The 13317-nt window shown below is 49.0% G+C and overlaps 1 protein-coding gene and 1 long non-coding RNA gene across 7 annotated transcripts in view, besides 2 other annotated features; one reads left to right on the forward strand and one right to left on the reverse strand.

Annotated features, from left to right (window-relative positions):
- Positions 778 to 917: an enhancer, noted in NCBI's record as "active region_2376". NCBI's record gives its function as "activates an Ori minimal core promoter by ATAC-STARR-seq in GM12878 lymphoblastoid cells {active_cell/tissue: GM12878}" and the evidence as "EXISTENCE:reporter gene assay evidence [ECO:0000049][PMID:35858748]".
- Positions 1048 to 1227: a silencer, noted in NCBI's record as "silent region_1735". NCBI's record gives its function as "represses an Ori minimal core promoter by ATAC-STARR-seq in GM12878 lymphoblastoid cells {active_cell/tissue: GM12878}" and the evidence as "EXISTENCE:reporter gene assay evidence [ECO:0000049][PMID:35858748]".
- The window catches only part of TMCC2 (transmembrane and coiled-coil domain family 2), a 45398-nt gene continuing 33207 nt past the window's right edge, over positions 1127 to 13317 (forward strand). For 3 of the 6 annotated variants that reach the window (XM_047436073.1, XM_005245686.4, NM_014858.4), the window contains exon 1: positions 1127 to 1952. Coding sequence is in view for 2 of the 6 variants with exons in the window: in XM_005245686.4 (XP_005245743.1) it covers positions 1746 to 1952 (207 nt within the window). In the remaining 4 variants the exon portion in view is untranslated. Of the gene's footprint in view, positions 1953 to 2111; positions 2310 to 2895; positions 3351 to 13317 lie in introns of those variants that run through there. The other 3 variants (NM_001375652.1, NM_001375651.1, NM_001242925.2) reach the window with 2 other exon arrangements.
- On the reverse strand, positions 6958 to 10472 carry TMCC2-AS1 (TMCC2 antisense RNA 1). Its single transcript, NR_183258.1, has 3 exons — positions 10365 to 10472; positions 9686 to 10139; positions 6958 to 7324 (listed from the first exon to the last, which is right to left on the reverse strand). It is a non-coding gene; the product is annotated as a TMCC2 antisense RNA 1 (long non-coding RNA).

The following is a 13317-nucleotide window of genomic DNA, read 5'->3' on the forward strand; positions in this document are numbered from 1 at the left end:
AGTGAGGCTACAATGGCATGATGGGTGCGAAAGAGATTGGTAAACTGTAAAATCCTTTAGAGACCGTGTGGCCCCTTCACTGTCTAGGCCAGTGGTTCTCAAAGGGTAGTGTGTGTCAGAATTACCTGGAGGGCTTGTCAAAACACAGATTTCTTGGCTCACTACTTCTGATTCTCTAGGTCTGGCTGGTGGCCAAGAATTTGCATTTCTATCAAGTTCCCGTGTGATGCTGAAGTTGCTAGTCCAAGGATCACAATTTGTGAACCACTGGTTGCTGGATGAGTAAAATCCATTGTGTCCACAGGAGGCATACAATAGACACTCAGATGGGGTTGTTATTATTACTACTCTCCATATCTTGGTAACCCCAACGTTTGCTCTCTTCTGCTTCCAGATTACTCAGCACAGTTTGGCTGAGATTTATGCAAAGAGAGACAGCATTCCCTTTCCACACATCTATATGTAGCAACCTCCTGCCATTAATACCCTTTCTTATTTAAAAGCTGCTTCACAGTTTGTAAGGAACTCTCACATACGTTATTGTGTTTTTATATGAAATTCTTCCCAATTTCTGAGCATAAATTATGCCAAGTAAAGTCTCATTAAGAAATAATGCACTTAAAGCGGGGGACGGGGCGATGAGGAGAGAACGCCCCCTCCCCTTGGCATTTGCAGCTCTGAATGTAGGCATAGATTTAACTCAGACCAAGTATCCTAGAGGGGATAGGTGTCTCCCTTATGGCTAGAAGGTGCAAAGTTAAGAGCCCCAAAAAGCAGTGATAATAAACATCCCTCTTGTGCTCCTTCTCGCCAAATAAAGCGAATGGGTGGAGGAAATCCTGGGCGAGCCCTCCTCGGCAGGGTCCCTCAAGCTGGAGCCGAAACTGCGACTCCCACGCCCGCCGCCCCCGCCCCTGAACTGCAGCCCGCTCTCTGCAATGCAAAAACGCAGCAGCATCGTCCTCCAGCCCTCTCCTGGGGGATCGCACGGTGCAACCAACCCCAAAAACGAAGCTGCGCGACGCCCCCTCAGCCCCGCGGGCTTCCCATTGGCCGGTTGCCGCTGTCACTCCCTCCTAGCCTCGCCTTCCCGCTCCCGGGCGGAGGCAGCCGGGCGGGGTAGGTTGCGCGCTCGCCGCGGGCTCGGGCCGCGGTCGCGGCTTTGCGGCAGGCTGCGCGTCAGGCGGGGAGCGGGGCGCGCGGGCCGGGGAGGGGGCCGGGCGCGCTGCGGGCTCCGCGGCCGGACCATGCGGGGCAGGGGCCGGTTGCAGGGCCGGGGGCTGCAGCCGGCGCCGATGGCGGCCGACTAGGACCTGCCCGGCCGGCTGCCCCGCGCCCCGCCTCGCCCCGCAGCCCGGCCGGCCGGGAGGGATGCGCTGTGCCGCCCAGCTCCTCTCCGTCCTGCCCATGCCCTGAAGCAGAAAGTTTGGGGGCCGGGGGTTGTCTCCCTTCTCCCTCCTGCAATGACTGCCCAAGGACTCTTGCTGCCCAGCCTCGACTGTGACCTGTCTTCGCTCCCCAGGTCGAAATGAACTATTCCAAGCTATAACCAAGGCTCCCCCTTCTCGCCCCTCCCTCACCCGCCTTTAAGAATTTTTTTTTTAATTCAAGAAATTGTGGTCTGCCATCTCCCCTCCTTGTTAATAATTTAGACCCCAGGCCTCATATGAATATAAGAGGGGGTGCGGTCTTCCCCAAGACGGCGCGCTGGAAGGACAGATTCCCCTTGCCGACCCACATACACCATGAAGAGGTGCAGATCGGACGAGCTGCAGCAACAACAGGGCGAGGAGGATGGAGCTGGGCTGGAAGATGCCGCTTCCCACCTGCCGGGCGCGGACCTCCGGCCTGGGGAGACCACGGGTGCTAACTCTGCTGGCGGGCCAACTTCAGACGCCGGCGCTGCCGCGGCGCCCAACCCAGGTCCCCGAAGCAAGCCTCCTGATTTAAAGGTGAGCGCAGACCATCCCCCCGGCAAGCCCAGCCCGCGACTTAGCTCTCGCCACCCCACGCAGAAGTGCTTTAACAGGATAAAAGTGAGGGGGGAAGCCAGGCAAAGGTCAGAGAGGATGAGCGGATGCTTTGCTGGCACCCCAGGGGGGACGTCAGGTACCATTTATGCCTCTGTCTTTCAGCTCCGTGTCAGGTCTCTGTGTTTGTTCCCCATTATTCAGCAAGCGTTTTAGTGACTCACCCATCCGAGATTGTTTGAATAATGTGTGAAGTGTTATTCGCAGACAAAGGGCTGGAGAAATCCAAGATGCTAACCAAAAAGTGGACAGCAGGTGACCATTAGTTTTCCTTGCTGAGTAAGTCTCTACCCATTGGGATCTTTGTGTGTGTGTGTGTGTGTGTGTGTGTGTGTGTGTGTGTGTGTGTATGTGTGTGAGACGGAGTCTCGTTCTGTCGCCCAGGCTGGAGTGCAGTGGCGCGATCTCGGCTCACTGCAACCTCCACCTCCTCGGTTCAAGCGATTCTCCTGTCTCAGCCTCCAGAGTAGCTGGGATTACAGGCACCCGCCACCACGCCCGGGTAATTTTTGTATTTTTAGTAGAGACGGGGTTTCGCCATGTTGGCCAGGCTGGTCTTGAACTGACCTCAGGTGATCTACCCGCCTCGGCCTTCCTAAGTGCTGGGATTACAGGCGTGAGCCACCGTGCCGGGCCCCATTGGGATCTTTGAGCGCTTTCCTGGATGAAGCTCAGTTTGCCGATCTGTGAAGGGGCGGGGGGGGGGGGGTGGTGGCGGGGGCGGGGGGGGAAGGTGGATTTCCTGCCGTTAGGTGGAGCCAGAGGTTAAGATAGTGCTTGGAGATCTCTGCCTGCCTGCTGAACCAACCCCCAGGGTGGAGAACTGACAGGTGGTGGAGCAGTGCTTGGGCTGGTTTGGGGCCTCAGTTCAAGTTGCATACATGCTGAGCCAGCAGCTAGAACCAGAAGCCGAAAGAACTGTTCACATGGAGCTGTTTATTTTCCGGCCTGAGGTTGCCGAGACAATTGGCGAGCTGTCTTGAATATATCTCTATCAATTAAAACAGCAGCTGAGATAAATAATGCACCTTTGCCGGAACTGCCACAGGGACTGCAGGCTCAGGCTTCTCAAGCCAGCTCACCGTCCAGCTGAGCGAGATGTCAGCCCAAGGAAGGAACTTAGATGCCTTGGAAATTGATGCCTCACAGTTATTTTCTCCAGAGAAGGTGCAGGGTCTGGGCTAGGGAAACGGAAAGGACTCTGTTGCATTTAATAAAGCCTATATCCTATGGCAGCAGCCACTAAGGAGCTCACCAGAATAAGCCAATGCCATTCCTCATTTGGCCTGAGCAGCTCAGAGTCAGGAAGTCAGAGCGCAGGTGAGTGTGTGTGCTCTTACCTGTGTATGTTACCTGTCTGTGTGCCTTGGGGAGGAGTGAAAAGGGGGACGACTAGGTTATTGTTGTGTGTGTTTTTTAAACTTTGCAGTAATTATTCAAATCTGAACTCTGGTTCTGCCGCCGTCCTTTTCAGAGCTTCGTGGCTAGACTTATGTCTAGAGGATCTCTGTGGGATAGGCTCTCTCTGCACAAGAAGCTTGAGCTTTTGCCAGGCCCAGGGAGTCCTTGGTGTTTATCTCTGCTGTCACCCCCGAGTCCATCCCATGTGGTCAGGAGGTGTAGTTCCTGTTTTAAGTGAGATGGTGAGGGGGAAGGGGTCTCTTGAATGCTGTTGTGGGGAGGAGGCTAGCCTTCTGCTGCAGACTTCAGCCTCATTCTGAGCCGGTCCAGATGAGTCTGGCCAGCAAACCCTGAATCTTTGACCAATGAGACCCTCAGCTGAGTCTGTGAGAGGCAGCTTTGGAAATTCCCCACTCTCCAACTCAGGACAGCAGTGGAAACTGCTTTCTCCATTTATTCCCCCAGTTGCCTTCATGAGGAAGATGGGTTGGTCATGGCATGGGGGCTGCAGTGTCTCTGTAGAGGGACGCCTTAAGGGATGCCACGTTTCCACTCTCCTGTATTATCTTTTTTTTCTTTCTTTCTTTCTTTTTTTTTGGCAGTGCCCTCATTCTGGTCAGGGGCAGATGTAGTAACAACTTTACACTTGATATTAACTGCCGAACTGCCCTCAACCAGAATTGAAATCAGGTGTAAGAAAAGGAGGCTTCCCCTTACCCCGCGCCCCCATCCACCCCATCCCCCCATCCCCCCCCCCGCCCCCAGAGAAAACATACCATTGAACCCAGCAATGTGGACCCAGTAAGGAGCAGAAAACCCAGCTGCAGCCTGCTTGTGGGAGCATGGGGAAACAAGCAGGGCTTTTCCTGTTTATCTCTGTCTGCTTCATCACAACATGTTTACTACCGGGTGCAAGGGACTTCCAACCAGATGTGACTTGGGGACTTTCACAGTTTGATTTGCTGTGTGGTCTTGGGCAAATCACTCAACTTTTCCGAGCCTTTTTCTGGTGAAAGGGACTAGGAATATCGGAGTGTGTCCAAACTTATTTATTTATTTATTTTGAGACAGAGTCTTGCTCTGTCACTCAGGCTAGAGTGCAGTAGCATGACCACGACTCACTGCAGTCTCAAACTCCCAGGCTCAAGTGACTCCCCAATCTCAGCCTCCCAAGTAGCTGGTACTACAGGCACACGCCACCATGCCTGGTTAATTTTTAAATTTTTTGTAGAGACAGGGTCTTGCTATATTGCCTAGGCTGGTCTTGAACTCCTGGACTCAAGCGAAACTCCTGCCTCATTCTCCCAAAAAGCTGGGATTACAGGTGTGAGCCACCGTGCCCAGCCCCTCCAAACTTGCTTTCCAGTGCTGGAAAAATTGTTTTCCAATGCTGGCACAGTTTTCCAATGATAGAAAAATTCCATTATTGACTCTGGAACTGGGTAGAAGTTGACTTGTTTTAGATTTGATGGTGGTACCACAGAAGGGTGTTTAATTTTTAATGCTCCCCTACCTCATACCTGTGTTTGGTCAAGGCAGATAAGCAGTTCTGGTTTGCTTTTGTTTTCATTTTAAACTTTGGAGATGAGAACTTTTGGTATCTTAGTTCCATTTCTGTTTTCTCATGACAGCTCCAGGCACTGTGATGAATTAAGTGCATTGGAAGAAATCATCTTGAGAAAGGGGCAAAAATAATAATAATAATAATAAAGGACTCTGTGTAAAGCACCTCCGTAGAGGTTGGGGCGGTATTGGAAGAGGAGAGAATTTTTATCTTTGCCAAAGAAATCTGAATGGTGTTTAGTGACAGTTAGTGGTTTCATGGGCTCCTATGGTCTCCCTCTGTTCCTTCAGCACTGTGGACCATCTTACTGTACACTGTAAATTTCTGCTACAGTGCCCTGGGATCTGTGATTATAGGGTGGGAAGGGCCAGTGAAAAGTAGTAGTTAAGCAGCAATTTTAAAACTGTAATTGAAAAATAACCTAAAAATGGACATTGCCTCACAGGAGGCTCATGCAGATACATTGAGGGCCTTCTCAACTGTTCCACACACCTGTGGGACCTTCGGGGAAAATCTCAGTAGACATCCTGCAACAGGAGCACAACAATTCAGTCCCATTCTTCAGCCACTTGCAGCTTGGATTCCTGTTGAAACACTCGAGTTCATGTTTCGATTCATTTGTCCTTATTGCCCAGCCTTTTGCTGCTAACAGATTCCCTGCTTGTTGGGAGGAGATGCTGGGGTTGCTAAGCCACAGAGAGTGCTGGCTGACCAAAAGTACACCACAATTCTACAGCAAGAAAACCCAGTTCCATTGCATATGGGAGGAGAGGTGGGGCTTAGGGGAATACTGCAGACAGGGAGCACACATTCCTGCTAAGAATACAGCATACGGGCCGGGAGCGGTGGGTGGCTCATGCCAGTAATCCCAGCACTTTGGTAGGCCGAGGTTGGTGGATCACTTGAGGCCAGGAGTTTGAGACCATCCTGGCCAACATGGTAAAATCCTGTCTCTACTAAAAATACAAAAATTAGCCAAGTGCAGTGGCACACACCTGTAGTCCCAGCTACTTGGGAGACTGAGGTGGGAGGATCGCCTGAGCCCAGGAGGTTGAAGCTGCAGTGAGCCATGATCATGCCATTGCACTCCAGCCTGGGCTACAGAGCAAGACCCTATCTCAAAAAAAAAAAAAAAAAAAAAAAAAACACAAAAAAACACACACACAAAAAACAACAACCGAAAAAAAAAAAAAAAACCACAACGTGTGGTAGATACTTCTGAGGCCCAGGATGAGTGGCCAAGCATAAGAGTGAGCTGGTTCTATCCTGATATGTGATGGAAGTCTGAAGGCACGGGAGGAAATTACCAACCTCCCCACCTCTCTCACAGTGGGAAGAATTGAGTCTTTCCTGAAAGGAGGTGTCTGGGGATGCTGGCCATGGGCTTTCCCCCTGGACTTCCCCTAAGGTTCTCTTTCCTCTCACAAAAGCCCCTTTAAGTAATTTCCCTGGAGATTTCTGAGCAGTATTAATATATTTCCCTGAAGAAAAAGGGGGAGCTCCAAATTCCATCATTCCCCTCCTGGTTTGAAGCACTTTTGACTCAAGACTCATTTGGGTTCCAGTTCATGTTCCAGTCACACCATACACTGGTCTTCCTGCCTACTTAGTGAAGAGCAGGAAAGATAATTCGAAGCCAGATATCTGAGAGAAAGTCACAACTGAGTCCTGTGTGGTTCTCCCTGCTGGCTCTCCGCCTTTCCTGGTGGTCACAGGCAGCTTCCTCCCACTGTGAGTGGCGTGTGTTCCTTCACCACTCCTGCAGAGAGCCCACTAGAGAAGGGTTCATGCAGTCAGCAGATACCACCTTCAGCAGGAAAGGTGCTGCTGAATTAAATTGTGAAACATGCTTATAAAAGTGCCTGAAAACATGTACGCAGTTTAAATAACAGAAGCAAAGCAGACACCTCATCTACCCAAGTCAAGGAAAAAAAAAAACTGACATTCCCGAGAAGCACCTGCTTGTTTTCTATTTGTTTATTTCTTATATATATATTTTTTCAAGGCTCAGGGTTTTGATAAAATTTATAGGTCTCAGTTTCTCCTTTTTTTTTTAAAGGGTAGTCAAATGAAGCAGTGAGAGTGGAGAGTTTCTTCATTTTTTAAATGAAGGAGAAGACAAGCTACTTCATAAGAACGTAGGTGGAATGAAGATATGTACGTTCCCTGGGGCTCTCCAGGAGTGTTGTGATGGTTGCGATGGCTCTCTGAGGGCCTGCTGCATCTTGAGGCCCAGTAGATATGTTAAGGCTTGAAGATTCCTGCAATCTCAGGTGGGAGCCGGACGCCTGGGATAAGTTTTATCAGAGGAGGTAGAATTGAAGTATACCTAAAAACAAGGACATGGGAGGCCAGGCGTGGTGGCTCACACCTGTAATCCTAGCACTTTGGGAGGCCGAGATGGGTGGATCATGAGGTCAGGAGATCAAGACCATCCTGGCTAACACAGTGAAACCCCATCTCTACCAAAAATACAGAAAAATTAGCCAGGCATGGTGGCGGGCACCTGTAGTCCCAGCTACTCTGGAGGCTGAGGCAGGAGAATTGCTTGAACCTGGGAGGCGGAGGTTGCAGTGAGCCGAGATCGTGCCACTGCACTCCAGCCTGGGCGACAGAGCGAGACTCTGTCTCAAAAATAAAAAACAAAACAAACAAACAAAAAGGAAATGGGAAATTAGTTATTTGGCCTCACCTCCAGCTGATCTCCAGGTCAAATAGGATGAAATACTTCTAAGAAAACCATCATGGAAATACATAGAAGTTAAAGGGTACTTAGAGCATCATGCAGTGCAATCAGAAACTTATGGGGGTTAATCAGGAAAGTTGTTCTGCAAGAGGTGGGTTTAGAGCAAGATTTTTTTTTTTGAGATGGAATCTCATTCTGTCTCAGGCTGGAGTGCAGTGGCGCAATCTTGGCTCACTGCAGCTTCTGCCTCCCGGGTTCAAGCGGTTCTCCTGTCTCAACCTCCCGAGTAGCTGGGACTATAGGCATGCACCACCAGACCGGGCTAATTTTCTATTTTGAGTAGAGATGGGGTTTCATCATGTTTGCCAGGCTGGTCTGAAACTCCTGACCTCAGGTGATCCACTCTCCTCGGCCTCCCAAAGTGCTGGGATTATAAGCGTGAGCCACTGCGCACGGCCTAGAGCAAGATTTTAAAGAAGGGGTGGGACATTTATTACCAAACAAGAGAAGAGGGGCTTTCTAAATGGGGGAAGTGAGGTAGCAAGTGCTTTTGTAGGGTCTTTGCCCTGTTTGACTAGAATGATCAGGAACAATGGAGGGTAGTGCAAATGCTGAAGTTAACTGTTTTGTCCCGCTTGCACCTTATATGAAGCAGGCAGAGGGTTGGAAGGCCCAGGATTGCCTCCCCCCCACCCCCTCCAGCCTAGGTAATATTCAGAGCAGCCCTCTATGTGGGCTCTGGGGGAACTGGTGACCGATGGGAAAGCATGTGGCAAACGAAACTCCCTGTTCTCCTGCCACATATTGAGTTCTAGATTAATTCCCAGCTGCCCTAGTTGTTCTAGTGGGAACTGTCTGGCAGGCTCAGTATTTACAGAATGTGCTTCTTTTTGTGTATCTAATTATGTCTTCACTGCCAATCCCATTAACAAGAATCTCCTTCAGCAAGGAGTTGAAATATCTGATAGGACCTAAATTTTGGGCTGAAGTTTTCAAAGTGTGGGGTTATCAGGAGCTGGGGAAAAGGGCTCAGGCAGCTTCTCAGTGGTGGTCTTAAAGGCCAACTCAGAACTCATTTCTGTTTTCATCTCTCCCTTAAGAAATGGCATCTGCCTTTGAAATCCCCATAGACTACTAGCATGCTACATTTTTGGAATGAGGCCATAGCTGGACAGGGTCCACCTTTGTCAGCCAAACACTTAAGTCTCTCTTCGTGTAAGAAGTTAGAACAAAGCTGTTGGGGGATAACAGGTATGTTTTGTGACTGTGCTAGAAAAACAGTTATTTGGCTGGGCGCGGTGGCTCACGCCTGTAATCCCAGCACTTTGGGAGGCCGAGGCAGGGGGGTCACGAGGTCAGGAGTTCGAGACCAGCCTGGCCAGCATGGTGAAACCCCGTCTCTACTAAAAATACAAAAAATTAGCCAGGCATGGTGGTGTGCCCGTATAGTCCTAGCTGCTCGGGAGGCTGAGGCAGGAGATTTGCTTGAACCCGGCAGGCAAAGGTTGCAGTGAACGGAGATCACGCCATTACACTCCAGCCTAGGCGACACAGCAGGACTCTGTCTCAAAAAAAAAAAAAAAAAAAGAACAGTTATTTTTAAACCAAATGACTAAAGGCTTCCTTATTCCAGCCAGGTTAACTGAGTGATGTCCACCAGGGAAAACAAATCTGGCTGTAAGGACATGAGCCCCCTCCCAAGCCCTCCCTAAGCCATTTGTGAAGACATCACATACATTCTGGCTCCTTGGTCTGTGTTCATCTCCTTCCAAGCCAACTCAATCTTGGCGGTTACTAAGATAATAGAGTGAGAAGAGGGTTTAAACTGCAGCAGGAGAAATCTGAGTTAGACACAAGAAAAGGCTGTTGGAGCATTTGAAATCTTTGTGAAAGGTTATGTCTTTGGAAAAGGTAGTCATCTAAGGATTAAAATCACCTTTGTAAGATGGATTTGTAGAGACTTGGATAGTGGCTGCTCAGAAAATAAATGAACAAATAATTTACCTAGCTGTCTTCCATGTTGGTGTTGAGGCCTCTGCCAGGTAATGTTAGGGACACAGAGATGTAGGAGCTGTAGCTCCTGCTGTCCAGTCACTCATATTGTCATCAAGGGTTCCATCCGTCAGCAGGTGAGAAGTTGGATAACAGTCAGACAAAGCACTAGAAGCGATGTCACAAGGCAGTACACGATTAATTGCAAAATGAGTGGTGCAGATAATGAGCGCTTATGTGTTCAGAGCAGGGCGAGATCGCTGCAGACTGGTGTGATCAGAGAGGGCTTTATGGAGTGGCGAGGTGGTGAAGGATGGGTAGGATGCAAAGAGGCAGAGAGAGGGCACGCCATGCTGGGAACTTTAATAAAAGTCTTCTATGTTGGTGTGTGCTGAATCAGTTCTGCCTAAAGACATGGTGGATGAGGTGACCTTTTCCCACTTGCTTTGGCTCCAGGCTGAATTCTCTAAGCAATAAAGGAAAGAGGAATCAAAATAAAATTGAGAATGGGGGAATTTTTTGCCCGTGTGCCCATGAGTTGAGTTTTTTTTTTAAAATTTCATCTGTGAGGCTGGGGAATAAATAAATGATTCCAAAAATCTTTCATCACTGGGTTTCCAGTAGAAACTCCAAGTGGGCCTGAACAGTTGCAGCTGCCTACTGTACACCACTGTGATCATCAGCGCCAAACCTGGGGTAATGGTTCCTCTCCTGCTCCCACTCAGGCTCCCCACCCAGAGCTTCTTAAGGGCAATTGGAGACTTCTTCAATCCACTTTGGATCCTAAGAGTAGAACTCTGTGGGTTTTTACAGTGATTAGTTCTCTAATGCTGGCCCTGTTTCCATAGAGACCCTATAAATAGAGGAATGTTGGCGACCTAGGCTGGCAAAGGCTCAGGGTGACCCAGTCACCCCACTGAACCCTCACAGCCAAACTGTTGGTAGGGCGGAAGGAGTTTCAAACCCAGGTAGGAGGAAGGGCTATGCAGTCAGCTGCCAGGTGGGATAATTAGCTATAGATTAGTGTGACTTTAAGCTTTCCTGGGATTTGTTGAGAACACACGTACCTGTAAAAATTAGAAACCACTTTTGGTCATTTTTAACCAGATGGTGCCAATGACACTGTACCCCAAGGCATTTTAGTTTTGTATTCATGCAGCTGTGTTTGCAGATTTTGGAGCAAACTTCCCCTTTGGGGGACCCACACCCAGGGAGAAAGACGGATGAAGCCCAACTGTTCAGAAACCACAGCCTTCTCAGGAAGGATCTTTCAGAAGCCATCTAGTCCTCCCTTTTTTCCTGAAAGGACAGTGCCACCCAAGGAGATGGGGCTCTTCCTGCCCTTTCAGATAGTTCCAGGGGAGGGACAGCCAACTCCCCTCACTTCCTTCCCCGGGGCACCTCACCCTGGGAGGCTCTCCTTTCTGACTACCTTATGGCCAGTTCTGGGGACGGCACTTCTTGCTTCGGTCTTACAGATCATGAAAGCCCTGTTTGTTTGCCACCTCTAACTCTGAAGCATCTCAGCTCTCTAATGCATGGCTTCATTTGGCCACCAAAATGGTTTCTGGCAGCCAGGGAAAAGCAAAAGTCAATGTGGAAAAGCAAGTGACATTTTAGGAGCTGGAACCTGTTAGTCAGAGCAGGTGGTGCTTTCTGCTGCGTTGGCGGCTAAGTTCCCTTAAGCTAGTCACCATGGTTTTCCTCACTTCTGAAACTTGTAGCTGGTTATGTGTATGTGCTGAGTTTTTTTTTTTTAAAACACTTACTGTGTTATGTCAAAACTCCTTAACCATCTCCTCCCTGACACCCACATGCAGAAGCGGCCCAGCCCTTGCGTCACTTTGCTGTTCCCGCCTCGCACCTTATCAGTGAGGAAAAACCCCTTCATTTGGAGTAATCTCCTCTCTCTGCACCTTGTTCTTTGACTTCCTTTTTGTTATTTCCCTCCTGCCTGCCTCAGACTTTAATAGATTCCTCGGTCTGCTGGGACAAAGGTCCTGGGGTCTCCTGGTCACTTTCCCTAGGTTTCCTTCAGCTGCAGGACAGCTCAGGGAGGTGGGAAGTAAAGACTTTATAGTTGAGGGTCTTGTCCCATAACATGGGATGGGCAGGTCACAACAGCAGTTCAGGGGACCTAACAACCCTTGACCCAGGCATTTTTGTTTGGCGCCTGCCTCTGATACTATTCTGGGACACATGCAAATACCCTATCTACTTTAAATCTTAAGTCTTGAAATCAGTGTATGGGCCCATGAAGGTAAATTCAATTAGAAGTCGGGGGTTTCTCTGTGTGGCTTGGATGAGCCACTTAGCTATGCTGTGCCTCCGTTTCTTCATCTGCAAAATAGACACTGATGCTGTGACATCTCACATTCCTAGCTCCTGAGATTAGGCTAGTGTCAGATTATAATGACAGTATAAATCGGAACGCACTTTGCAAAATGCTGTTGTATAAATTTTAAAAGTAAATTGACCAAGGATTTTAGGCTCCAAGGCAATATGGCAGACATCGGTGGCCACCGTAGCTCTCCCCAGCACCTCCACCAGCCTCCCGGGGATAGGGGAGAGGAAATGCCTCAGAACTCTAGGACCTCTGCTGAAGTCTTTAGAAGGGAAACTCTTTCTGCCTGAGTGGATCCTCAGTGTTGGAGAAGCCAGTTTAGGAATGGGGGGAGAAGAGGAAGGGACCTGGAATAGAACGCTAGAAAGACAATTCGTATTATGGAATGTGACGATTTGGCAGAGGCAGCTGGGCAAATGCCAGAGCCAGCTGGCCCCATCACAGTGTCTGGAGGGAGGTCTCACATCAGCTTGGGCCTGGGGAAGGGGGAGGTGTCCTGGCAGGTCCCTGGTCTGAAGGCTGCAGGATCTGGCCTGTTCCAAGTCCATGGCAGAGTTGACATCTTGGTTCTCCCCAGCACAGATTCAGGTGAGCCTTGTGACCCTGCCTCAAGCTGGCCCCCAGGGGATGGTAACTCCTGTGGGAAAAGCTGGCATTGTGTAACTTAAGATCTCGAGGGCTGCCCCAGAATTCAGTTCTTGAGAAGGAATCATGGTAGCCTTAATTTCCTCTTCTCTAAATGGAGATGTTTCCGTTGTTGCTTTTGTTACTATTTAGGAGAATCAATGGGATAATGCAGGATACAAATCTCCTTTGAAATGAAAAACCGTTAGTTCGTGATGAGTTGTGATGATGTAATTTATCTGGTCTGTAAAATGGGTGATGTAAGGGCCTCATCTACTTTAAGGATTCTGGGGATACTCAAATGAGGTGAAAAATGAAAATCCTAAAATTTTACACAAATACATAATAGTACAGTTATTGTATCCAGCTGTAAGCGCAGCCATCTGCACAAACTCAAGGCTGAGTTGTAAAGTAACCTAAGAGTGGGGTCAGCTCATTTAGAGGATGTCAGGTTGCTTTTTCTTGGTTTCTATATGGTCTAGATTTTCTGCTCTGTAAGTTTGTTTCTAGGGAAAAAAAAAAAGAAAATCCAGTCTGTGTAATTTTTTGGAACATTTTTTAAATGACTGAGGCAGCCTGGTAAGATTGTGGGTTGTTCCTCACAGGAAATCCTGCTATGGCTCATTGAGTCCCAAATGGCTGGGCCCTGAGTTTTCCTCTAAGGAGCTGCAGAATG

This window comes from Homo sapiens, chromosome 1, assembly GCF_000001405.40.
Source record: "Homo sapiens chromosome 1, GRCh38.p14 Primary Assembly".
NCBI classification, from domain to species: Eukaryota; Metazoa; Chordata; class Mammalia; order Primates; family Hominidae; genus Homo; species Homo sapiens.